The sequence below is a fragment of the Homo sapiens genome, chromosome 2, assembly GCF_000001405.40.
Source record: "Homo sapiens chromosome 2, GRCh38.p14 Primary Assembly".
Classification (NCBI taxonomy): Eukaryota; Metazoa; Chordata; class Mammalia; order Primates; family Hominidae; genus Homo; species Homo sapiens.
The window spans coordinates 74,425,777-74,449,791 of NC_000002.12; the positions used below are offsets into that span (position 1 = coordinate 74,425,777).

The 24,015-nt window shown below is 51.5% G+C and overlaps 1 protein-coding gene across 8 annotated transcripts, besides 6 other annotated features; it reads right to left on the minus strand.

Annotated features, from left to right (window-relative positions):
* Nucleotides 1–58: 58 nt before the first annotated feature.
* RTKN (rhotekin) lies at nucleotides 59–16,161 on the minus strand. Of its 8 annotated transcripts, NM_033046.2 has the most exons (13): nucleotides 14,577–14,807; nucleotides 13,775–14,201; nucleotides 6,691–6,890; nucleotides 4,840–4,901; nucleotides 4,689–4,742; nucleotides 4,476–4,593; nucleotides 4,052–4,261; nucleotides 3,072–3,166; nucleotides 2,855–2,961; nucleotides 2,492–2,620; nucleotides 1,648–1,816; nucleotides 1,393–1,497; nucleotides 85–798 (listed from the first exon to the last, which is right to left on the minus strand). In NM_033046.2, exons 2-13 carry the CDS (start codon nucleotides 13,844–13,846, stop codon nucleotides 467–469), a joined length of 1,653 nt encoding a protein of 550 aa, NP_149035.1. In that variant the 5' UTR covers nucleotides 13,847–14,201; nucleotides 14,577–14,807; the 3' UTR covers nucleotides 85–466. The 8 variants fall into 8 exon arrangements, 7 of the variants coding, with proteins under 7 accessions (NP_001015055.1, XP_016860124.1, NP_149035.1 ...); NM_001015055.2 differs by lacking the exons at nucleotides 13,775–14,201; nucleotides 14,577–14,807 and adding an exon at nucleotides 15,930–16,161 and having other exon boundaries at nucleotides 59–798; XM_017004635.3 differs by having other exon boundaries at nucleotides 59–798; nucleotides 13,775–14,794.
* Nucleotides 664–1,163: an enhancer, noted in NCBI's record as "H3K4me1 hESC enhancer chr2:74653567-74654066 (GRCh37/hg19 assembly coordinates)". NCBI's record gives its function as "activates a minimal SCP1, AML or CMV promoter by ChIP-STARR-seq in naive H9 embryonic stem cells {active_cell/tissue: H9 hESC(naive)}" and the evidence as "EXISTENCE:reporter gene assay evidence [ECO:0000049][PMID:30033119]".
* Nucleotides 10,798–11,477: an enhancer, noted in NCBI's record as "H3K4me1 hESC enhancer chr2:74663701-74664380 (GRCh37/hg19 assembly coordinates)". NCBI's record gives its function as "activates a minimal SCP1, AML or CMV promoter by ChIP-STARR-seq in naive H9 embryonic stem cells {active_cell/tissue: H9 hESC(naive)}" and the evidence as "EXISTENCE:reporter gene assay evidence [ECO:0000049][PMID:30033119]".
* Nucleotides 13,612–14,349: an enhancer, noted in NCBI's record as "H3K27ac-H3K4me1 hESC enhancer chr2:74666515-74667252 (GRCh37/hg19 assembly coordinates)". NCBI's record gives its function as "activates a minimal SCP1, AML or CMV promoter by ChIP-STARR-seq in primed H9 embryonic stem cells {active_cell/tissue: H9 hESC(primed)}" and the evidence as "EXISTENCE:reporter gene assay evidence [ECO:0000049][PMID:30033119]".
* Nucleotides 14,777–15,086: a silencer, noted in NCBI's record as "silent region_11660". NCBI's record gives its function as "represses an Ori minimal core promoter by ATAC-STARR-seq in GM12878 lymphoblastoid cells {active_cell/tissue: GM12878}" and the evidence as "EXISTENCE:reporter gene assay evidence [ECO:0000049][PMID:35858748]".
* Nucleotides 15,802–15,861: a silencer, noted in NCBI's record as "silent region_11661". NCBI's record gives its function as "represses an Ori minimal core promoter by ATAC-STARR-seq in GM12878 lymphoblastoid cells {active_cell/tissue: GM12878}" and the evidence as "EXISTENCE:reporter gene assay evidence [ECO:0000049][PMID:35858748]".
* Nucleotides 16,172–16,251: a silencer, noted in NCBI's record as "silent region_11662". NCBI's record gives its function as "represses an Ori minimal core promoter by ATAC-STARR-seq in GM12878 lymphoblastoid cells {active_cell/tissue: GM12878}" and the evidence as "EXISTENCE:reporter gene assay evidence [ECO:0000049][PMID:35858748]".

Sequence of the window (24,015 nt, forward strand, 5' to 3'; positions counted from 1 at the left end):
ATCACAGTCATGTTTCACAGCTGGTGAACTATGCTCCAGGGATGATGTGAGGCAGGTCTAGACCAGGCAGAGAGAGGCACCCTGTCCTCAGGAGCCAGGTGAAGGCTGCTGTTAAATAACTTTAATGGTTGATGTGGGAGTCACAAGGGAGGTATGTTTGCTCCAAGGGTTCTTCAGTGCCATCCTCAAAGCTGGTTAGTGCAGGGAGGTAGGGCAGAGTTGGTTCCAGTTTTCTTCCAGGAAGGGTTTAGGGAGGTCCCAGCGAGCCCCAGGAATGAGTCCCTCGGTACCATGGCAACCACAATTTAAGAGGGGCTTCTGCCCACCCCTGCAGCCTACCCCAGGTCCAGCAGAGGAACAGGAGGCCAGACTGGCCAACTTGCTATAGACAGCGCCGTATCCAGAGCCCAACTGCGCATGGGTCATTTTCTCTTCTGGGCAGATCCTATGCCAGCACCTTTCTCTCTCACACTGGTGACTGGAGCCAAGTGCGAGGTTGGCCTTTGCTGCAGAGGCCTCTGGTCCGTGGGGATCGCTGAGGTGGGAGGGGGGCAACCGAGCGAGCCCTAGGGGAGTGGTCTGGGGGGACAGCATCCAGGGAAAAGGTTCGGGGTCTCCCCCAGGGCAGGGGGTGGGTCCAGTCTGGGGCTGGGGCCACTGAGGCAGGCGAGCAGGGGTTAGGCAGGGCAGGCTGGTCTGTAAACATTGCCAGCCAGGGTGGGGGTGTCTCCAGCCTTGCGCCCTCCCGCTGGGTCAGGATGTCTGTCACCGCTGCGATGTCATCCAGCGGCTCAATAGCTGTGGCACCAGGAAGGGGTTGGGGGAGGGTTGGGCTAGTCAGAGCTCAGGCCCCAAGCCTACCCAGCCCTATCACCTGTCACTGTAATAGGAGGAAAGCAAAGCCTGGATCTCAGTGGAGATTGCGTTATCCTGCAGGAGCAGCCCCTCACCTGGGCCCCCTGGGGCTACAGGCTCTGATAAGACTGTGGGACATGGGGCACAAGGTAGATGGGGATGGGAAGGGGAGGAGTGGGGAGCAGAGGTGGGTGAAGAAACCAAGAGGAGAAAATGAAAGCGGTGCCAGGCAAGTGAGGGGTCAGAAGAAGAGACAGGAATCCACATGCAGAAAGGGAAACAGAAAAGAAGAAATTAGGAAAGAAATTAATGAAATGATCCTGGCTCACTGGGGTTTTGTTTTGAACTTTGGTGGAGGTGGTTCTAAAAAGAGTTGGAGAGGAGAAAAGAACACACAAGATTGGGTGAGACTTGGGTCCCCAGAGATCTGGTGTAGCCCAGAGTGTGCTTTCTCTCTGTTTCCATTATCTGGTTTCTCTTGAAGTCCCCAACCCTACTTCCCATTAGCTTCCTGGAGTTCACATTCCTCTCACTTACCCATCTCATGGTACAAGGACCCCTGCTTTGCCAGTGCTTGGGGTGGTTTCCGGGGAGCAGGAGTTTCAATTTTCATGATTTCATCACAGCACTGCTTCCATTGGCCTGGAAGAAGAGCGCTGATTAAAAGAGAGAGCCAGGCTGCCCTTTCTCCTGCTACATTCCCTTCCACATAATCTTGAAACAGAGGCCTTTAGTAAAAATGACAAACTCCAGTTCTTCCCAAAGGTTCAACCCAGCCCCCTTCTCTCTTACTCATGTCAAAGAAAAGCTGCCACAGAGCCTCCATCCAGCTCTGCAGTGCTTCCCGACTTTCTGTCTGAAGGGTGTGTGTCACCTCATCATCCCCATACTGGTTACTGATGCTTAGGGTGAAGGGCCGTCCTAGAGCCTGGTCCAGCTCCCCTGCCCGGACTCGAGTCTCCTGCAGGAGAAAGAAGAGGTCTACCTTGGTCACAGAAGTTGGCAGTGACAATCAGGCAGCCTTGATCACGCCTGCCTTAGAAGAATGAGCTTGTGGGGCTTTTGCTGAGCCCTCTCATTTGCCTCCTACTGACCAGAGTAGGAAGGAATGGCAAAAAAGGGCTGGGGATGAGACAGCCAGTCCTGAGTCAGGGGAGGAGGAGCAGCTTGAGACAGGGAAAAAGGGATTGAGCAAGGCAGGGAAGACACAAAGGTAGGCAAGGATGCTCCAGCCAGAGGTCCCTCAGAACTGACAAAAAGTAGGCAGGAAAGCCCATAAAAGGGATAGGGAGCAAAGAAGGGCAATTGGACCTGGAGAGAAATGGGAAGTGGTAAAGTAGATATAAATTGGAATCTGAGGGAGAAGAGGGAGAGAGGATGAAAAGCCCTGAACCTGCAGGCGAGAGAACCCTCTCTGAGATTTGGCAGGGACTGAGGATGGCAAGTGAATGGGACGATCCTCTCACAGTGATGCTGTAGTTGGGGAAAATACGGGCCCCTGAAGCTGGATGTGGCACTGTCAGGAGCAGGAGGCCTGCTTCTATCTCTCTGAGGTATGTGCCCACCCTCCTGGGGCCTGAAGGAGAGGCTCCTGGGCCTGTGCCCTTGGTGGCCTTACTACCAAGGGACCCATCACCTTGTTGACAGCAATAGTAAGCAGCGGCTCTTCCCCAGTGTCTGCATCCTCAGGTTGCCGGTAACAGAAGAGGTTTGTGCCTTTCAGAACTCCATGCACTTGTGCCCAGTTCTGCATCTCCCCAGCTTGCTGCACAAATGACTCAACATTTTCTGGGGAAGTCACGGCCCCCAGTATCCCTCTTCTCAGCCCCCCATGAGAACCTGTTCGTTTTGTCCACCCTGCTGTCCATTCCTCCCCTCGTCTGGCCATACCCCATTTCTTCCACCCAAATCTTGATTTTTCATTAGCTCTTCTATTCCTGGTTATCCAGCTCTCCTCTGCCTTCTCCCTGCTCCCTTCCACTCCTCAGGGCCCCCTCACCTGCACCCTGAGGGTACCACTTGCAGTGGGCTGAGTCATGCAGAGAGGCTGAGCTGCCAGACGGCAACACACGCTACCATAAAGGGGCAGCCAGGCAGGGTTCTCCTCTGGGGGAGGAGGAAGTGCAGGGTGAGGTAGGGGAATGAGAAGGGGACCATCCCACAGCCCCTCTTCTCACCATCACATGTGTATGTCCCCCATGCACACACATACTTACCATGACTGGCAAGGGTGAGGTCATGTGTGCGGAATCCATCTTGCACTGCTGCCAGGGTGAGTGTGGTGTGAGCCAAGAGGTGGTAACGAGGACCACTGAGGGAGATAGGAGAGAGCATCAGCCAAGGGAGGGGCATGTTGGCCAGCAGGAACTCTAAGGGCTGAGCAGATCTGCCCCATTGTTCAGACTGCCCCACAGAAAACTCGCTTGCCTCCCCAGAGGGTTAGGAATGAACATTTACCGAGCTCCAGCTAAGTGTCAGGACGTATGCTTTATATGTTTTATCCCACTGTATTCCTATGACAGCCCTGTGAGGTTGGTGGCATTCTTCAACTAGATGAGGCAGCTTGAGGCTTAGAGAGGTTAAGAAACTTGCCCATAATTTATAGGTGGAAAGTGGGGGAGTTTGAATTTGAACCCATATCTATGTCCAAAATCAGTATTCTGTTCACTACCCAAAGGTTCTCAAACTGCTTCTCAGAGTCTCAGTGGTCCCATGCGGTGTCTCCAGGTGCATTTAGGTACCACCATAGGTCCCAGGGTACTCTGCTCCAACCAAGAAGCTCTGCTCTATCCACATAAAATGTATTTGCTAGGCTGAGTGCTGTGGCTCACGCCTGTAATCCTACCACTTTGGGAGGCCGAGGCGGGAGGATCACTTGAGCCCAGGAGTTCGAGACTAGCCTGGGCAACATAGTGAGACCCTGTCTCTAAAAATAAAATGTATTTGCTGCTGCTAAAAAGGTAAGACCCCAGGGCCTAAGTCTCCCTGCCTTCCCACTGGTCTTCTGGACTGGCTTCAGCCCAGCTCTGGGGCGTGGGCTGGAATGCCTCCCAGCTACGTGGCCACTGCTCATTCATATCTGTCTGCACATCCTGGCAGCAATGCAAAATGGGTTCTGCACACTCAACACAGTTCAAAGGTCACCTGTGGGCAGAATACAGGCAGCTGAGGGTGGTGTCGGTGTGCAAGGCCTTACCCAACAACTGGGGTGGGGAGCAAGATGGGACTGCTCCCTGAACCCCCAGCACTGTCCAGCGATGCCCGGACACGCCTCCCTGAGGAGCGGCCCAGGGAGCTGCTGAGTTTGGTGGCAAGCCTCTTGGGGCCGCCAGTCAGGGCCCCCTCTTCTTCCACACAGGCCCCATACAGCTCTAACCGCAGTTCAAAGTCTGGCCCCGCCTCAGCGCTGGTGGGAGGAAGAAAGGAGGGTGGTCACAGGAAAGTCCAGGGAGGCAGAGGGTAGGGGATGTGGGTGAGGCAAGTGCAGGACAGCTCCACAGAGAAGGCCAGGTGCCCCTCCTCTCCACCCTGCCCCCATCCCAGCTTCCTCCCCTGGAACTCGCTCATCCAGAACTGGAGCAGAGTGGAGGAAGGAGGTAGCCACAGTGTGAGGTACTCACAAGAGCACATTGCTCTGAAAGGAGATGTCTGTGAGGGTCCTGTCCACTAGGATCATCTCTGTGTCCTGGATGTGTTCCCCCAGCTGCAGCAGCAGGAACACAGCCCAGCGGTGCAAGTCTGGGGACAAAGGGCAAAACAAAAAACACGTCCCACGAGAGCCTCCTACTTCAGGGTCATTCCCCTGAATTTGTCCCAGGGTGTGTGGAACTCACCACCTTTGTTCTTGAAATATTCTGTGTCCTTCCACATGAGTGGAATCCGGAGGTCTAAGGGGCAGAGGGGTAAGAATAGATGTTGAGATGGGGCAGGAGGCCGTGTGCTTGGGCAAGGGGTACCAGCAGCTGGGGTAGCTGTGCTTCTTACCAGAGATGCAGACCCGGCCGCGGCAGGGGGAGCGCTCAGCGGGCGGGCCACTGTCAGAAGGCCTGTGGATAAATCACAATGTCCTGGCCTGGCCTCTAGCCACTATTCCCCCTTGCTCTGGTCCCAACGACTCTAGGATCCCCCTGATCCCAGCGCCTCAGCCACCAGGTTCCCAGCCAGGCCGACAGGCAGGGCTGAGGGACTATAAGGGAAAGTTGTTCATTGAACCCAGCAGTTTGCCAGGCTTGGGGACACCAGGGACACTCAAGCCACATTAACTCACACATAAGGCACAAGCTCAGGGCTCCTCTCTCCAAGCAACCTCCCTGACCACCTCTCCAGATCCCTGCCAAGGACAGGTGCAGCCTTGAGGGGACAGGTGCCCACAGAAAGACTTCATTTCCAGGGCTCTCCATTAAACCCCTGGCTTAGAGGGGTCTCCAGTCTTTATTTTTTTTTTTTTTAACAATAGGAAAGCTGCTTATTTCCCACCATCCCATCACTTCTTTGATATAGGAGGGTACTGGGTCAGAAAATAATTTGGCCAACATTTGTTCAAAGGAAAATCACCAATAGGGAAGAGTTACGTTCCATTCACTACAGACCCTTTTCCTTCCCTACCACTCCCCAACTTTGATTTCTCCTTTTTCCTCCTGGCCTGATATGGTGTACCCTACTAGTGCCCCAAGTTCTGCAGCTCCCCCACACCCCACTGCAGGGCCCGACACCCCACCTTCCTTCCCTCCCTGCCCATCATCAGGACTCACCATGTGTCCCTTTCCTGAAGCGACTGCCAGTTCATCTGTACTTACTCATAATGCCACTAAAGTAATTACTGACTTAGTAGAGCCTTAAGCTAAATGATGTGGCACTAATGGCAATGTGTTTAGCTGCCAGGCACTTGGGGTGTACCTCAAATCACCTGTGTGGGCTGTGTGAGGACTTTGGCAGGACAGAGTCTGTCCATGCTGCCTCTCAGAGGCTGTCCCCCCACCAGCTTGCCCTTCCTCTAGCTTCATGGGATAGCCATACAGTGGGTTTTCTGCCTTCTTCTGGTAGCTTCATGGGTGAGCTCCTGGCAACCTCCTCTTGTGTCAGCCTTCATGGCTGGAATGGGCACCATACCTGTGAGGGGCTGGGACTATTTCCCCTAGCAGCCTCAGTGGAGTAAGTAGGCCACTTTCCTAAAAACCAGTTCTCCAAATGACCACTTTATCCAAATTGGCATATTCTTAGAATAATTTGCCAAATATTTTCCCCAATATTTTGGTTTTATCATGGCATCACTTAAGTCATTATAGACTTGTCAGATCAACAGTCTAATGTCAGTGTTGCTTACATTTTACATCCAGAAGCTGAGCCCTTTTAGAATGCACAATCTAATTTGTTTGAATGGGTAGGCTTTCCTTAAGTGGTTTCTTATTTCCTTTCCCACTCCCTGCCTCTGAAGGTGAACCCCAGATATAACAAACTATTGTCAGTATGTGGTAAATTGGTGATTTTGTGAACCAGCGTTGAGGAAATTAATTTTCCAAAAGCCAGATAGCCAGTCTTACTGGATCACAGACAGGGCTTAGCAAATTAGTGCTTTTGCATTACTTGCTACCCTTCAGATCAGCTACCTTTCACCAGACACACCGACTTTTCTAAGTCCTGCCCTGGCTACTCACAAATGCGCCTCTGGGCAACACACAGTGGTGGTAAAACACCAAGGTCTCTCCCAGGTCCCTGATAAGACTTCATGGGGAAGTCATCTTTAAGGTGGTCCACATGCCACACACGCACATGCTGCACCACCACCACCCAGAAGGCCTCCTGCCTCCATCGAGGCCTCGTCTCCCCCTTGCTCACCGCCGGCTTGTCTTCCCCAGCACCTGCGCCTCCTTGCGCCGCTGCAGCTCGCCCATGTAGCTGAGGATGCGGCTGTTGCACACTAGCAGGCTCTTGGTGGCCTCCAGAGCCTGCTCTCGCTGGGAGCAGGCTGCCAGCAGCTTACAGGCCCCTTCCCTCATCCGGATCTCATGGTCTAGCTTCCTCTGCAACTCCGTGTCCTAGCCAGGGTTGGGGGAAGGGTGAGAAGGAAATGTCAGTCAGTGGACAGGCTAAAGCACTCCCCAGTCCCCAGGTGGGCTGTGGCCAGTAAAACTGACAAGAAACTAATGTTTTAGGCAGTTCAAGAGCAGGCATTGGGTCTCAATCTCAGCTGCCCACGAATAACCAGAGAAGCTTTGTAGCCAGGTGCAGTGGTGTGTGAGGGAGGCTGAGGTGGGAGGATCCCTTGAGCCTAGGAGATCAAGGCCAGCCTGGGCAACATAGTGAGACCCCACCTCTAAAAAAATATATAACAGCCGGGCACGGTGGCTCACGCCTGTAATCCCAGCACTTTGGGAGGCAGAGGCAGGCGGATCACAAGGCCAGGAGATCGAGACCATCCCGGCTAACACGGTGAAACCCCGTCTCTACTAAAAATACAAAAAATTAGCAGGGCGTGGTGGCGGGCGCCTGTAGTCCCAGCTACTTGGGAGGCTGAGGCAGGAGAATGGCATGAACCCGGGAGGCGGAGCTTGCAGTGAGCCGAGACTGCACCACTGCACCCCAGCCTGGACGACAGAGCAAGACTCTGGCTCAAAAAAAAAAAAAACATATATATATATATATAAAACAAATAAGAAAAATAGAGATGCCCTCATGCATTTGATGGTTGGAAGTATAAATTCCTTCAGCCTCTTTTGAGTGCAATTTGGAAAAAAATCTATGAAAACTACAAATTCATATATCCTTTAATTCAGCTATCCAATACCTAGCAGTTTATCTTACACATATAATTTCACATATATCTAGGTAAAGCCATACATACAAAAATATTCAGTGCGGCATTTTTTTTTTTTTTTGAGACGGAGTCTCGCTCTGTTGCCCAAGCTGGAGTGCAGTGGTACGATCTCAGTTCACTGCAAGCTCCACCTCCTGGGGTTCATGCCATTCTCCTGCCTCAGCCTCCCAAGTAGCTGGGACTACAGGCGCCCGCCACCACATCCGGCTAATTGTTTTTTTGTATTTTTAGTAGAGACGGGGTTTCACAGTGTTAACCGGGATGGTCTCGATCTCCTGACCTTGTGATCCGCCCACCTCGGCCTCCCAAAGTGCTGGGATTACAGGCGTGAGCCACCGCGCCCGGCCTCATTGTGGCATTGTTTTAAACACCAAAATTAAAACCCCTTCAGTAGGACATTGGTTAAATAAGTAACAGTACATCTGTACCCTGTAGTATTGCAGACATTAAGGAAAGAGATATGCACATGTATGCAGATATGAAACAATCTCCAAAATAAATGATGTGAGAAAAGAAGGGTAGTATTGCACATACTACCATTTGTGCATGATATATATATATGTATGCATGCATATATATACATAGATATAGATATGCATGTTTATGCATAAAATATTAGTGATTGTAGGCCTGGGAGCCAGGGATGGAAAACATTTATGATACTTTTTTTTTTTTGAGACCGAGTCTCACTCTGTCACCCAAGCTGGAGTACAGTGGCGCGATCTCAGCTCACTGCAACTTCCACCTTCCAGGTTCAAGTGATTCTTGTGCCTCAGCCTCCTGAGTAGCTGAGATTACAGGCATGTGCCACCACGCCCGAGTAAGTTTTGTATTCTTTTTTTTTTTTTTTTTTGAGACCGAGTCTTACTCTGTTGCCCAGGCTGGAGTGAAGTGGCATGATCTCGGCTCACTGCAAACTCCGCCTCCCAGGTTCAAGCAATTCTTCTGCCTAGCCTCCGGAGTAGCTGGGATTACAGGTGTGAGCCACCACACCCAGCTAATTTTTGTATTTTTAGTAGAGACGGGGTTGCACCATGTTGGCCAGGCTGGTCTCAAACTCCCGACCTCAGGTGATCCACCCGCCTTGGCCTCCCAAAGTGCTGGGATTGCAGGTGTGAGACACCATGCCTGGCCTAACTTTTGTATTCTTAGTAGAGACAGGGTTTCGCCATGTTGGCCAGACTAGTCTCGAACTCCTGGCCTCAAGTGATCCTCCCACCTCGGCCTCCCAAAGTGCGGGATTACAGGCTTGAGCCACTGCGCCCAGCCTAATGATACTTTATATATACCCTTTGTACTACTGGAAATTGTATTTCCTTTAAAAAATATTAGATCTTTGGAGTTTAAAAAAAAATGATCAGGCCCTACCTAAGATTTGCAGAATAAGAATCTCTAGGAGTGGGGCATATGTACTTTTGGAAAACTCCCCAAGTGATTCTGAGGTACACCCAGGTTGAGAACCACCAACTCATGGGAATGGACAGAAGGAAAGGCAAATGAGAGTTATCCCTCAGACTCAAGTGATGCCAGGGACATCTAGTTGGCAAGGGATCAGTGGACAAGGAGCATACCACCTACAGTGTTCACTGACGCTGCACAGAAACCTATACACCCCAAATTAAGAGAATCACCACCTACCGGCCCTCTGAGCTTGGGAGATGAGGTCAGAGGCAAGGAATGGGGATGGGAAGGTAGGTGGTCCAGGAATGAGGGACTGTGGATAAGGGCCAGCTGAGAGGCCCTGGAAGAGACACCAGGATTCTCAGGAACATTCATTTAGAAAGGAGCCCTGGAGGTCCTGCTTCTTAAAAAGCAATGGGCAATTTGCTCAACCTCCCTAAGCCTCAGTTTCCCCATCTGTAAATCAGGAATGGAAATAGTCCTAGGGCTGTGAGAATTCTGTGAGGCAGGAACTTAAAGCACTTAGCACAGTGCCCAGCATGTGGTATACATTAATGGCAGGGATGCTTATTTTAATGACGCTATACTTTGGTGGTAGCAGCATTTACTCAGTCAACACTGGAGCATCCCTGTACTGTCCAAGGTTGTACATTTAAAATCCAGCTGGGAGGTGAGAGATGATGACTTTAATGGCTGCTCCATAAGTGCCATGTCATGGCACAACCATGCTCACAAGAAACAGCCTCTGTTTGCTTCTGGCTGAGGTGATCAAGGAAAGCTTCAGAGAGGAGTTGGAAGACTAACTCTATCACAGTGTACAGATTGGTTCAGGAGACAAGTCGAGCCATCCATTTGAAACAGGGGAACTAATGTGACCACTCCAAACCTGTCTTTTTCCTCACACCAGCTCTCCTCCATACACTGTGCCCTTGCATCTGTCCCTAGTGGCTCCAGCCTTCAAGTCTCTCAGACCCGAACACCCTAAATTCCCTCTTCTAAAAAGCCTTGTCCTGCCTGCCTACAGATGCTTCCTTGGCTATTTTCTGGGCCACTGTGCTAGGCCGGACTTTTATCACCTTCCCCCATCACCATCCACCCGTTTTCCTTCTGTAATAAGCCAACCCTTTCCCAAAGCCCCTCACCAGGAAGCCCTTTCAGACTACATAGGTCCTCCCAGTCTAGTTTTGTCTGCACCAGGGTTCTGCGCTGCCCGACAACCCCCACCCCAGTCTGCACCCAGCTTCAGCCACAAACATCCCAAATGGGTGAGCCTGGCAGGAGGGGGACACGGAGGTGTCCTCAACCCCCATCTTGGCTAGTCTCATCCCAGTCCCAGCACTCACGGATCCTTCCCCAGCCCGCTCCATTGCGAGAGGCGCGCAGAGGCGCGCGAGGTCCAGAGAGCTGCACTGGCCTGGGGAGCCGGCTGGGTCCGAGGGCCGCGGGAAATCGGAGGAGCCAGGGCGCCAGCATAGCTGCACCGCCTCCAGCTGCAGCGCTCAGGACGCCGGTGACATCAGCTCCCAATTGCCGCGAGAGCAACTGAGGGGTACCAGGGCGCTGGAGGTCCCTCCGGGCACCTGGCTGGGCTTGGCTCAAGGCGGTGCCTCCACCGAGACTCCATCGCGGCGGGACCGGACCTCCAGGAGTGCGCCCGCGCCGCCCTGGAAAAGGCTCCTGGCCTTCACGACGTGCTCCAGCTCCGGGAGGCCCCTCCCGCGTAGCGTTTGCCCTCCAAGGTGACCCCTTGCCTGAGAGTATGGAGGGCGAATAGTGTATAAATTGGGAGAGCTGGGGCCCTAGGGAGGTCACTGGGCCCAGCATGGATGAGTGGGACCACGAGTCCAGACACCTCCTCTATTTCCCTACTGATCTCCAGCCCCAAATCCACTCTCCCAAGGCCCAAGGCCGGGAGCGCCCTAGGAAACTGGCTCCCACCCTTTCAGGCAGAGGAACTGGGAATCCTGGCTCAGGATCTGGACCCTTGTGCTTCTAGCGTTTCCCCAACCCAGGGATAGTTCCTTGTTGCCCCCTCCCCACCCAAACACACCCTCTCCCCAAGCGGGCAGCATTTCCCCTGGGAAAGAGCGCAGAGCTGGGTGTCAGCTGGACCCGGGTCAGATCCCAAGGGGCTAGAGGATGAGTCATGGGCCCCACACACATTAGGCCCCCTGTTGATATCCCTTCCACCCCTCCCACTCTCTTAAGTCTCTGACTTCCTGCTCTGCTTCTCACTACCCTTTTTTCCCTTCAGAATCTCCACCAGGGCTAAGTACAAATCCTGGTTTAGGGACTTGACAAGCCCACAGAATTTGACCCCTGGAACCTGAGTTTGTAAAATGGGGAGTATTCCACCTCCTTCGTAGCATTGTTTGAGAATTATATGGGAAAGTCTCATCTCTACCTGGGCCTAGCACATATTTTAAAATAAGCCCCCTTTACTTGCAACTTGAGTCACTTCCTCCAGAAAGTCTTCTTGGATTTACTCTTCCACGACTATCTCTTTTGCCATTCCCTGAAACATCAATGGGTCTCTCTTTTGAGGACCTGCTGAACTTGGTTGAGAAAGAACACAGCACCCTCAGCCACTCTCCTAAAGGAGAGTGACCAAAGTGAAACTAAGCATCTCCTCTGCCCCAGAACTTGAACAGGCCTTCCACAGAGAAAATTTACATTTTTTGGAGGAGGGTAGGATGCAGAATTTAAACATTTACATACCTAGACCAGCTCTGTCCAATAAAACCTTCTGCGGTGATGGAAATGTTCAGTAGCCATCTAGCACTTGAAATATGGCTACAGCAACTAAGGAATTAATGTTTTGTTTTATTTTAATGAACTAAAAGTAAGATTTAAATAGCCATATGTAACTGATGTGGACAGTGCAGAGGACTATGAATGGCAAATAGGTTTTATCTCATGCACTGATGGAGGATAATTAGGTAGAGTCCCAACGAGTTCACTGGACACCTTTCCACAAATTAGAAAAAGCTGACCCTCTCCAGGCAAACAAATTAGATAAACGTGCTCCCTCCTGATGCCGCTGAAACCAGACCAGGACTCTCACCTCTGGCTGGCACCTGTGTGAAGGACACAACCTGCACAGTTTATGCCAAGACGGTCCTGAGAAAGATTCTGAGGCCAGGTCTGGGCTCGTTGATAAAGAGTGCCAAAATTGACCAGTAACATCTACTATGATCCAGGGAGTGGGGGCAGGGCTTGAGGGGGGACAGCACATACAATATCCTGCCATTCCTGATCTAGACTCTTTGCAGTCCTGCCTCTGACCTCTCAGCAGCAGCCCCTGCCTGGTCCAGGCAGTCACTTCCACAACTTCCTCCATCTTCCCCATCTCCGTAAACAGCCACACCACCCAGTTGCTTAGCCACATACCTGGGAATCATCCTGGAGTTCTCTTTCTTTGCCCTCCCATCCAATCCATCAGCAAATCCTGTCAGACCTACCACCACCATTTGAAATCTACTCCCTTTCTCCACCATGAGCATTTTAATTCACACCACCAGGTTCACTCCCACCTGAAGTGGGAGTGAAACAGCCTCCCACCTGGTGGACATTTGCGAACTCTCTTGCCAACCCTCCACCCCCAACCCTACCCTCAACTTCCCACCAGCCTATTCTCCATAGCAGCCATCATTTAAAAACATGGCATGAGTCATTCCCTTGCTTAAAACCCTTCCATGGCCCAACATCACACTTAAGGTGAAATCCAGGTGCCTTATCATGGCCTTCAAGGCCCTGCATGATCTGGCCCCTGCCCATCAGCTCCACCCCAACTACTATATTCCAGCCACACTGGCTCTCTCTTTCCCACAAATATATTACCCTCATCCTCATATCAGGGCCTTTGCCCTTCCTCCAGTCTTCACATATCTCCAAATCCTCCTGGGCTTAGCTCAAAGATCTCCCAACAGAGGCTTCCCCTGACCTCCACATCTAACATTGCCTCCCTCATCTGATTTTCATTACATCCCCATTTTCATCATAATTTCTTTATGTGATATTATTTATGTGTTCGTATGTATATTTCTGTTCTCCCACTACAATGGAACTTTCTTGTCTTATTCACTGAGGTATCCTATGGTCGAAAAGAGCTTGGCAGATAGTACATAAAATTTACATGTGTTTAATAATACATAGCGCAAGGTGCAGTGGCTCACGCCTGTAATCTCGGCATTTTGGGAGGTCGAGGTAGGGAGATCACTTGAGCCAGGACCAGCCTGGGCAATATAGTGAGACCTCGTCTCTGTAAAGAATTGAAAAAAACAAATACACGAATAAACAGCACCTTGCTGTCTCAAGGGCCAGCAGAATCCTTACTCATAGCCCAGAGTCCTTCTCTTCTCTAGCAAGGCTACATCCTTTCTGTAAACCTCTCTCACATTGAACTCCTCTCTTCTTCCCATGCCTAAAAGGAACCCTTGTCCCCAGAACAGACATTTACACTCACCCACAGAGCTTCCTGAAATAGGTGTAAAGACCCTGCTGCAAACATAAGACTATGATGGGCAGAACTGAGCCTGGGTCCACACACTGCACCCAACACAAGGCATAGGGAACCACCTGTCCCTCTTCCCACTTTAAGCAGGCCTGGCTCTCCCCACCATGCTGTAGCAGGAATGGGCAGGGCAGAGATTGGGGCTGGGATGCAAGTGAAGGAGGTGTGTACTCCAAGGGTCGGGGGATTACCTCCAGGCTGAGTGCCATCTGCCGAATGTAGAGCATATTCAGGTCCTCCAGGATGTGCAATCTGTCCTGCATCTCTGTGCCCCCCGGTGCCCTTTCCCTTGTCAACCCCTCCAGAGGGGGGACAGATAGGTACCACACTGTCCCACAGTTCCTCCTCCCACTGTTCCCTCAGTCTTTAAAGAGGTGGCCAGCTCTTGGGCAGAGGGCAGAAGCTGCCCTTATCCCTCTGCACTCCTGTTAAACCCCTCTGGCTGCTGTGACAAATTTTCCTCGCCCACTGCTGCTCCGGGGCCCTGCCGGGAGCCAGGCAGGGAAGAAAAAGAAAGCGAAGTGAGGATAAGTGGGGTCCCAGGAGGAAAGGCCAGCTGCAGAGGGGGCTCTAGGCACAGAGTGTCCAGTCTCGCTTTGGTGGCAGCTGTTCTCCCAGCTGTGGAAGAAAAAGGCCCTTTCATTCCGACTCTGGCCGCTCCCCAGCCCCCGCCCACATCCCTGGCCTGGTGGACAGGGAATCTGTGTGCGGAGAGGGCAGTGAGGGGCAGGCACAACTGGAAGGGGGCAGGGAAACGACGCCTCATGCAGGTTCTAGAGTCATGGGGTTTGCAGGAGGTTGGAGCTTCCCGAGAGGGGTTCCAGCTTAGTTTGAGAAAGTTGGGAAAAAGAGCCACACAGGTGAGGACCTCAGGGGAGAGTGAGCCCAGGGAATGGGACAAAGGGGTGAGTTGGCAAAGCAGCCCAGCCCTAGGGCCACCCCTTCCAACTCAGGGCCCCCATCCAGCCCGCTCCACCCTGGGCTCACAATTACCTCGCTTTTCCAGAGAAGGGAGGAGAGGGAGAGAGGAAGGCAGGGGTGTGCCTGTCTGCTGCTGTCCCCGCTCCCTTCTGCAGGCCCCTTCCCTTCCAGACAGGAAACCAGCCCCGATTCCGAGCCAGCTGCAGCCTAGCGCCCCCGCCTCCACGCCAGGCCCACGGAGTCACACTTCACTCGGCGGCCGCCAGGCCCTGCGGCTCCGCCCCAGCTCCTCCGAGCTGTCCCCGAAGGCCGGGCTAATCCCAGGGGCGGCCCCAGCTCACAGGCCCCTCCCCCTGGTCCCGGGCCTCGCCCCTTACTCCCCCACGCTGGCCCCACGCGGGTTCCTCGGGCCCAGTCGCTTGGGGGCAAGGGGACGCGACAAAGGCCCCCTCTCCCCAGGTCCACTAGCTTCTGAGTCAGAGAAGGCCCGGGACGCCGGGACAAGGGTGTGAAAGAGCCTCTTTGTTCTGGGCAGGCTGGAGGGAAAGGGCAGAAGCCAGGCCTGGAATCCCAGCCGGGAGGTAGAGGGGGCGGAAGGAAGGCCCACCTCACTTAACCCTTTCCAGACCCGGAAGGGAAGGCTTGGAACTGGGCTCTCCTTGGGCGAGTGTGAGTCTGACCTTGGGGACAGAAGAGTCTTCGGGGTAGCTATTCGCCCTCTCAGTCCCCGCTCAACCACACACCTTCAGCCCCGCCCTAGCCCTTAGGGCGTTACAGGTGGGGATCCAACAGGTTAACGCGTGGACGGCGGACGGGGGAAACGCTCAGCCTAGGGGCTGGACTCCTCTTAGGCCCCAGAAAAGGAGGCGGAAATTTTGCGTGTGGGAAGTAACCCCAAGGAGTTAAAAGCCCTGCAGGGGCATAGAGGAGCCTTTGAATTGGGCTTCGGGGAAGCGAGCGGCCCCGGCCTAAAGTCGGGGTTGATGACAGAGGCTGGCCCAGATGGCTGCGACAGGTTGTGGGATGGGGCTGGCGACTGGGGAACAAGCGGGAGCCCAGGCCAAGAGTCCGAGCGCTTGGGGCCCGCCTAGCTGCCCACCGCCCTTGGCCCGGGGATGCCCAAGACATTTTGGGGTTCAGGCACATTTTAGGAGTCGAGCTGGGGCCCTACAAATTGAGACCAACCCGGGCTTTTTCCAGGCTCAGGCAGATAATCCTAACCAGGCCGCGGAATGGGCAGCATGGATCCGATGAAAATGCAGACCGTCCACACCTTACTTTTTAAGTCAACAACTCCGTCGGGTTTGTACCCAGACCGTGCGTCTCCGCCCCTCGGCGTGCACGCGGGCGAGGGAAGGAGGCCGAGGTGGCTGGGGCTGCCCCCGGGAGCCGCGGAAGGGGAAGGCAGGGACGCGAGTCTCTCACCTCGGGCAGGTCGCTGAAGAGGCTGAGTCGGAAGCGGCCGCGTTTGAACTCCATCTCCAGGGCGGAGCCCCTGGCCACGGTGACCCGGCTCCGGTGGTTTCGGGAGAACATGCTGGCGGCCCTGCGACTTTGCCTGCTCAGTGCGCTCCCCGCGCCGCCCGGCTTAGCCTCCTCTCCTCGGCTTCTGTCTCTCGACGCTCGTCCGCCAGTCCGGCCGGGAATCTCCCGCTGCGGGGCTCCAAACCCCGCCCCCGGAGACGACACCTGGGCCGGGCAGGGCGCGGCAACCTCCTCTTCCACCCCCGCCAAAGGCCCAGCCCGTCCGGCCAGTCCCTGGGCGCCAAGCCGACCTGGCCCGACGGCCCCGGAGCCCCCAGGGGCGCACTGCACCTCGCGAGCACTGTGGGAGCGCGTTCTCCCTGCCCGCGCGGGTCGCGAGCGCCTACCTGGACTTGGGACGGACCGAGAAGCCCTGCCCCGCCAGCCGCCCCAACCTGGCAAGCCTGGCTTCCCGGGCGCTGAAAACCCCGTGGCTCAGGGATCGCCGCGTAGCACGCTCTGGCTCTACTCGGGCCCTGGGACCTTGCCCAGTTTCAATCCCGGCAGCCTCCGAAGAGACCATTTCAACATCCCACAGTCCCAAATGTTCCTTCTTCGTCCCCCTCCCCACCTAGGCTCCTCTGCGAGGCTATCCGCCTAAGCCTAGTGGCCACAACTGATGGGGCGGTGCTTAAACACGTCGTGAAACCCCAGCTCTGTCACTAACTAACCGTGCAATCATTAACTTGGTCCAGTCACTGGCCTTTCTGAGCTTCAGTTTTCTCATTTGTTCAGTGGGAATACTGTAATTATCTCCACTCCTCAAGTTGCTATGAGGATTACCTATAAGAATGAGGGTAAAATGCCCAGCATAGTGCCTGGCACAAGGCAAGTGCCCCATATTTGCAGTCATAAAGAGCAGCTGCGCGCGGTGGCTCACGCCTGTAATCGCAGCACTTTGGGAGGCCTAGGAGGGTGGATCACCTGAGGTTGGGAGTTCGAGACCAGCCTGACCAACATGGAGAAACCCCATCTCTACTAAAAATACAAAATTTAGCCGGCCATGGTGGCACATGCCGGTAATCCCAACTACTTGAGAGGCTGAGGCAGGAGAATCGCTTAAACCCGGGAAGCAGAGGTTGTGGTGAGCTGAGACCCCACCATTGCACTCCACCCTTGGAAACAAGAGCGAAACTACGTCTAAAAAAAAGATGGCTGGGTGCAGTGGCTCAAGCCTGTAATCCTAGCACTTTGGGAGGCCAAGGGGGACTGATCGCTCTTGAGCTCAGGAGTTGGAGACCAGCCTGGGCAACATGAAACCCTGTCTCAACAAAACACACACACACACGCACACACACACACAAATTGGCCTGGCATGGTGGTGCACACCTGTAGTCCCAGCTACTCGGGAGGCTAAGGTGGGAGGATTGCTTGAGCCCGAAAGTTCAAGTCCAGCCTGGGCAACATAGTGGGACCCCATCTCTTAAAAAGCATTACAAATATGTATAATTTTTTATTTTTATTTATTTATTTATTTATTTATTTTAATTTTTTTTTTTTAAGACAGAGTCTCACTCTGTCACCCAGGCTGGAGTGCAATGGCATGATCTCGACTCACTGCAACCTCTGCCTCCTGGGTTCAATCGATTCTCCTGCCTCAGCCTCCGGAGTAGCTGGGATTACAGGCGTCTGCCACCATATCTGGCTAATTTTTGTATTTTTAGTAGAGATGGGGTTACACCATGTTGGTAAGGCTGGTCTCAAACTCTTGACCTCAGGCGATACACCCGCCTTGGTCTCCCAAAGTGCTGGGATTTCAGGCGTGGCCCACGCCTGGCCAATATTATCTATCTATAGATAGATATAGATATAGATAGATATAGATATAGATATAGATATAGATATAGATATAGATATAGATATAGATATAGATATAGATAGATATAGATATAATCAGCTGCTTTGCTGGATGGCTGGACTTGCCCGGCTGGACTTACCACTCCCTGCTTCCATAAAAACAGGGTTCCCGCTAGGCGCGGTGGCTCACGCCTGTAATCCCAGCACTTTGGGAGACCAAGGGGGGCAGATCACGAGGTCAGGAGATCGAAACCATCCTGGCTAACACGGTGAAAACCCGTCTCTACTAAATATACAAAAAAATTAGCCGGGCATGGTGGCGGGCGCCTGTAGTCCCAGCTACTCAGGAGGCTGAGGCAGGAGAATGCCCTGAACCTGGGAGGCGGAGCTTGCACTGAGCCGAGATCGTGCCACTGCACTCCAGCCTGGGCGACAGAGCGAGACTCTGTCTCAAACAAACAAACAAACAAACAAAAAACAGGGTTCCCTTCTTGCCCCCTCTGGGGAAAGCCCAGTGGAAGAGAAGGAAATGGCAAAGGATTAACTTGCTGATCACACATAAACAGATCTCCTGAAGGCTTCAGAACACAGAACTTGAGAAAGGGTGAGACTCCTACATGGCAGGCTGGCTGGACCCAGAGACATACCAGTCTTGAGCTCTTAGAGAGTCCAGATTAGAAATGTTTTGCTATGGCAAATCATTTCAACATTCTTTTGGAAAAGCTGACTGAAAAGTACTAAAGCAAAAGGGGAAATGCATCGGCTCCTGGAACTGAGCCAATACAAACAAATGAGCCAGGGGTCAAGCTTTAGATGTGGCTTAACCCACTCATTGAGTGTCAGGAATATCCAGTCTCTTCCCATCACTTGGCTCTACTTTCCTCCACGTTGGCTTCACTCTCCACAGTGTAACGAAATTGCTGCCCAAAATTCTGGGTCTATATCTTTTCAGGCTTAAATTCAGCTGAAAAGAGAGCATCTGTTTCCTGAGGCTCCTACACGTCTGGGATTCGCTGTGAGACATTTGTGATCATTCATCCATCCCAAACCAATCATTGGAGTCAGACGGTGGCCAGATCTGAACCAATTGCTGTGGCTAAGGAGGTTCTAGGTGCCAGCTGGCCAGGCTTGGGGTCACTTGCCCACTCCTGGAGACTAACCAGAACCCAGTGAACTGGGAGGGAGAAGGTGGGGGAGGGTTGTTCCCCAAAGAATGTTCCAACCACTACCACCAGAAGGTGAGAGAATGGAAAATGAACAGGAAAAACAACCAACATCCTCCACACACAAAATTTTATATGGAGAAGGGAGTTCTTCTGGTCAGTAGGAAAGGCAGATCAAAAGATTTATAAAGTCCATGGCATCTGAGATTAACCACAAAAGACGTGTGAGGGGAAAGAAAGGGAAAGATATTGTTCCTTAATTTATTCAAATATTCATCATCACTCCTCTGAACTGTAAGCCTTCTAGGGAGGGGCAGTCTGTCTTATCCCCAGTGCCTGGGACATAGCAAGTGATCAATAAACATCAGTTGAAGTAAATAAAAGAGAAGCAAACAGATTTGAGAGTCCTTGACTGAGATGTGCCATCCTGTTGGACTAAGATAGTTCATTTCAAATGTTTGTTTTTAAGCAACAGAACCTTTTTTTTTTAATGAAATCTTACCTGAAATGTGTGAAATCAAATCAGAGCTGCTATGATGGGAGCAGGTGCTAGAGCCTCATGCCTTGTCTACCCACAGGTGCTCAGCTGCTCCCTGCTCCCCCAGTGAACACAAGCTCTGTGGACGGGTTTGAAAACCCCTGGCCTGAGACCCAGGAAGGAGGCAGAGGAATGGAGGATCTTCAAAAAGGAGGTTGAGCTCAAATCCTGCCTGAGAGTTTGTACTCAATGTGGCTGAAGATTTTTGGGAAGGAGGGACATGATCAGGATTATATTATATTATATTATATATATATATTTATATAATATATATCACTCTGTTACCCAGCTAGAGCAAAGTGGTGCCATGATAATACACTGCAGCCTTGAACTCCTGGGCTCAAGCAATCCTCCTGTCTCAGCCTCCTGAGTAGCTAGGACTAAAGGCGTGCACCACCATGCGAGGCTAATTTTTAAATTTTTTTGTAGAGACAGCATCGTACAGGCTAGTCTTGAACTCCTGGCCTTAAGTGATCCTCCTGCCTCAGCCTCCCAAAGTTCTGGGATTACAGGCGTGACCACTGTTCCTCCTCCCAGAATTAACTTTAGAGATCGTAATTTGGCAGCCTTTTCCATTAGTCAGTTGGAGGAGTTGTGACTGGAGTCAGGGAAGCCAACTAACACTGCACTCAACTGAGGGAGGAGAGATAAGGGTCAAAATTTCTATGGATTTATGTATGTATGTATGCATGCATTTATTTTTATTTTTATTTTTATTTTTGAGATGGAGTCTAGCTCTATCACCCAGGCTGGAGTGCAGTGGCGCAATCTCGGCTCACTGCAACCTCTGCCTCCCAGGTTCATGCGATTCTCCTGCCTCCGCCTCCTGAGTAGCTGGGATTACAGGCGCCCACCACCACGCCTGGCTAATTTTTGTATTTTTAGTACAGATGGGGTTTCACCATGTTGTTCAATCTGGTCTCGAACTCCTGACCTCGTGATCTGCCCGCCTCAGCCTCCCAAAGTGCTAGGATTACAGGCATGAGCCACCGCGCCAGGCCAGACTTATTTTTTAAATTAAATTTCATTTGAAAAATATTTGAAAGTACGTGTACAGTTTTCTAAACACTATAAATGCCACTGTTTTTTAAATAATGTAAATAATGAAAAAAATGAATAAAAGTATGCCTTCCCCACCCTCAATTATTCCACTTCCAGAAGAAAACACTGAGACAGTTTGGTGCATTCAAGTGCTGAAGCTCACACCAGCGGTTCGTGTTGATGACTTTTCTGGAATTGGGCATGCCAGTTGCTAAACATTGCCTTAATTAAAAATTAAATTACGGGCTGGGCACAGCGGCTCACGCCTGCAATCCCAGCACTTTGGGAGGCCAAGGCGGGTGGATCACGAGGTCAGGAGTTTGACACCAGCCTGACCAACATAGTGAAACTCTGTCTCTACCAAAAATACAAAAATCAGCTGGGCGCTACTTAGGAGGCTGAGGCAGGAGAATTGCTTGAACCCGGGAGGCAGAGGTTACAGTGGGCCGAGATCAGGTCACTGCACTCCAGCCTGGGGGACAAAGCGAGTCTCCGTTTCAAAACAAAACAAAATTAAATTAAGGCTGGGCATGGTGGCTTACACCTGTAATCCCAGCAGTTTGGGAGGCTGAGGCAGTGGATCACCTGAGGTCAGGAGTTCAAGACCAGCCTGGCCAACATGGTGAAACCCTGTCTCTACTAAAAATACAAAATTAGCCGGTGTGGTGGCACATGCCTGTAATCCCAGCTACTCGGGAGGCTGAGGCAGAAGAATCTCTTGAACCCGGGAGGCAGAGGTTGCAGTGAGCCGAGATCTCACCATTGCACTCTAGCCTGGGCAACAAGAGTGAAACACTATCTCCAAAAAAAAAAATTAAATTAAATTACATAAACATATAACTAAATCAATTTTATTAAAGCAAAGGTGACAAATATTCAAAACTCATCACTTCCTAATTATTTTACTGCATTTTACGACGACGTCTTGAGTAGTTTACATCTTTAGTATCTGTATGGAGGGAATGCTATATAAATGACATGACAATGCACATCTCTTTCCAACTCTGTATTCAGTGATGTCTCATTTGAAATTGGCCATGGTGGGAGTCCTTACACAACAGAAATAGGTGAACATAACAAATCCAGCCTGGTTTTTTTCCCCCCTGGGGAGCTTTTGTTAAACATTTACCAACATGCCACTGGTTTGGTGCACAGTCTTCCCAACTTTATCTTTTTGTTTATGTCTGTATCTATATCTCCCCAGCTATGAAGTAGATATGTGGGAAAGGGGCTGTGGGTCACCTAGGGTTCAAATCATCTTCTATTTCTGCACAGTTCCCTACTGTGGACAGTATTGACAGAATGAGCTCTAGCCCCTTTATGGCAGTTGGAGAACATTTATCCTTCTTCCCACTTTTTCACAGCCTAAAGGTAGGCACTTGGCCTAACCCAACTAACTGGAATGTTCCCAACTGGACTTTGAATATTGAGGGAGTGCAGACAAGACCCAGCCAGAGTTCATGATATACACTCACTGTACCTGCAGTACCTGAGAAGGGGGTAGTGGTGCCAGCAGAAAATCCTCATCAGCATGTTCAAGCCGCCTGACTTCAGTGTGGCCTTGGCATAACCTCAGCCATAAGTTTGTGCTGCCTGGCCTCCTTTGAGTCTCGCTTCTTATCCAGTGAAAGTATGAGATGAGCCCCAAAACATTTTATCCAGGGAAATAAAAATATTTTATCCAGGGAAATTTGAGTCTCACTTCTTTCCAGGGAAAGTACAAGATTAGCCACCTAGCATGGTGGCTCACGCCTGTAATCCCAACACTTTGGGAGGCTGAGGCAGGTGGATCACTTGAGGCCAGGAGTTCAAGACCAGTCTGGCTAACATGGTGAAACCCCGTCTTTACTAAAAATACAAAAAAAATAGCCAGGTGTGGTGGCAGGCACCTCTGATCCCAGCTACTTGGGAGGCTGAGGCAGGAGAATTGCTTGAACCCAGGAGGTGGAGGTTGCAGTGAGCCGAGATCATGCCATTATACTCGAGCCTGGGTGACAGAGTGAGACTGTGTCTCAAAAAAAAAAAGAAAAAAAGGCTGGGAGGGGTGACTCATGCCTGTAATCCCAGCACTTTGAGAGGCCGAGGCGGGTGGATCATGAGGTCAAGAGATTGAGACCATCCTAGCCAACATAGTGAAACCCCGTCTCTACTAAAAATCTGAAAATTAGCTGGGTATGGTGGTGCATGCCTGTAGTCCCAGCTACTCAGGAGGCTGAGGCAGGAGAATCGCTTGAACCTGGGAGGTGGAGGTTGCAGTGAGCCAGGATTATTGCGCCACTGCGCTCCAGCCTGGCAACAGAGCGAGATTCCATCTCAGAAAAAAAAATTTTTTTTAATTAGTTGGGCAGGGTGGCACATCCCTGTAATCCCAGCTACTCAGGAGGCTGAGGTGGGAGGATCACTTGAGGCCAGCAGCTCAAGGTTGCAGGGAGCTATGATTGGACCACTGCAACAGAGCAAGACTCTGTCCCCCTCTAAAAATTGAGCATCATAATAAGTAATGACAGCAATGGGTTACAACCCACTGATTAAAACTGGAATCCATGCTGAAACAAATAAATATATCTGTAAATAAATATGAGGAGAAGAGAAAGCTCTTACAGTAGAATGCTAACTAATACGTGTAACTGCAATAATGGGAATAGATCACCATTTGGCAATTATTATACTGGAGTTGATTCATACAGTAGTCATCAATGGATACAAAGCCTGGTGGGTGGAGGTTTGACGGGGAATGGGATATTAGGGTAGTTGCAGAGTATTTCCCAGAAAATACTTATTATTTGGAAAGACAAAAATGGTGACATTACAGTGGAGGAAATTGGCAGACAGCACCTTGACCAGGTGATCAAGGTTAATAGCATCAGTGGTGGGAAAGGCTGACATCATGAGCCTCCCAGTGTGACACACTGAGAAGAACAGAGCATAATGTTTTTGTGGGCCGGGCATGGTGGCTCACGTCTGTAATCCCAGCACTTTGGGAGGCTGAGGCAGGAGAATCGCTTGAGCCCAGAAGTTCAAGACCAGCCTGGGCAACACAATGAGACCCTGTCTCAAAAAAAAAAAAAAAAAAGAAATCAATTTTTTGTGTGTGTGGTGTTCTTGCCAAGAATTTATAAGTCTAGGCCAGGCGTGGCGGCTCATAGTGTAATCCCAGCACTTTGGGAGGCCGAAGTGGGCAGATCACTTGAAGCCAAGAGTTCAAGACCAGCCTGACCAACATGGCAAAACCCCATTTCTACCAAAAAATACAAAAATTAGCTGGGCGTGGTGGTGCACACCTGTAGTTCCAGCTACTCAGGATGCTGAGGCCCAAGAATTGCTTGAACCCGGGCAGCAGAGATTGTAGTGAGCCGAGATCACACCACTGCACTCCAGCCTGGGTGACAGTGCAAGACTCTGTCTCAATCAATCAATCAATGTATAAATATAGACCTGAGGAAACACC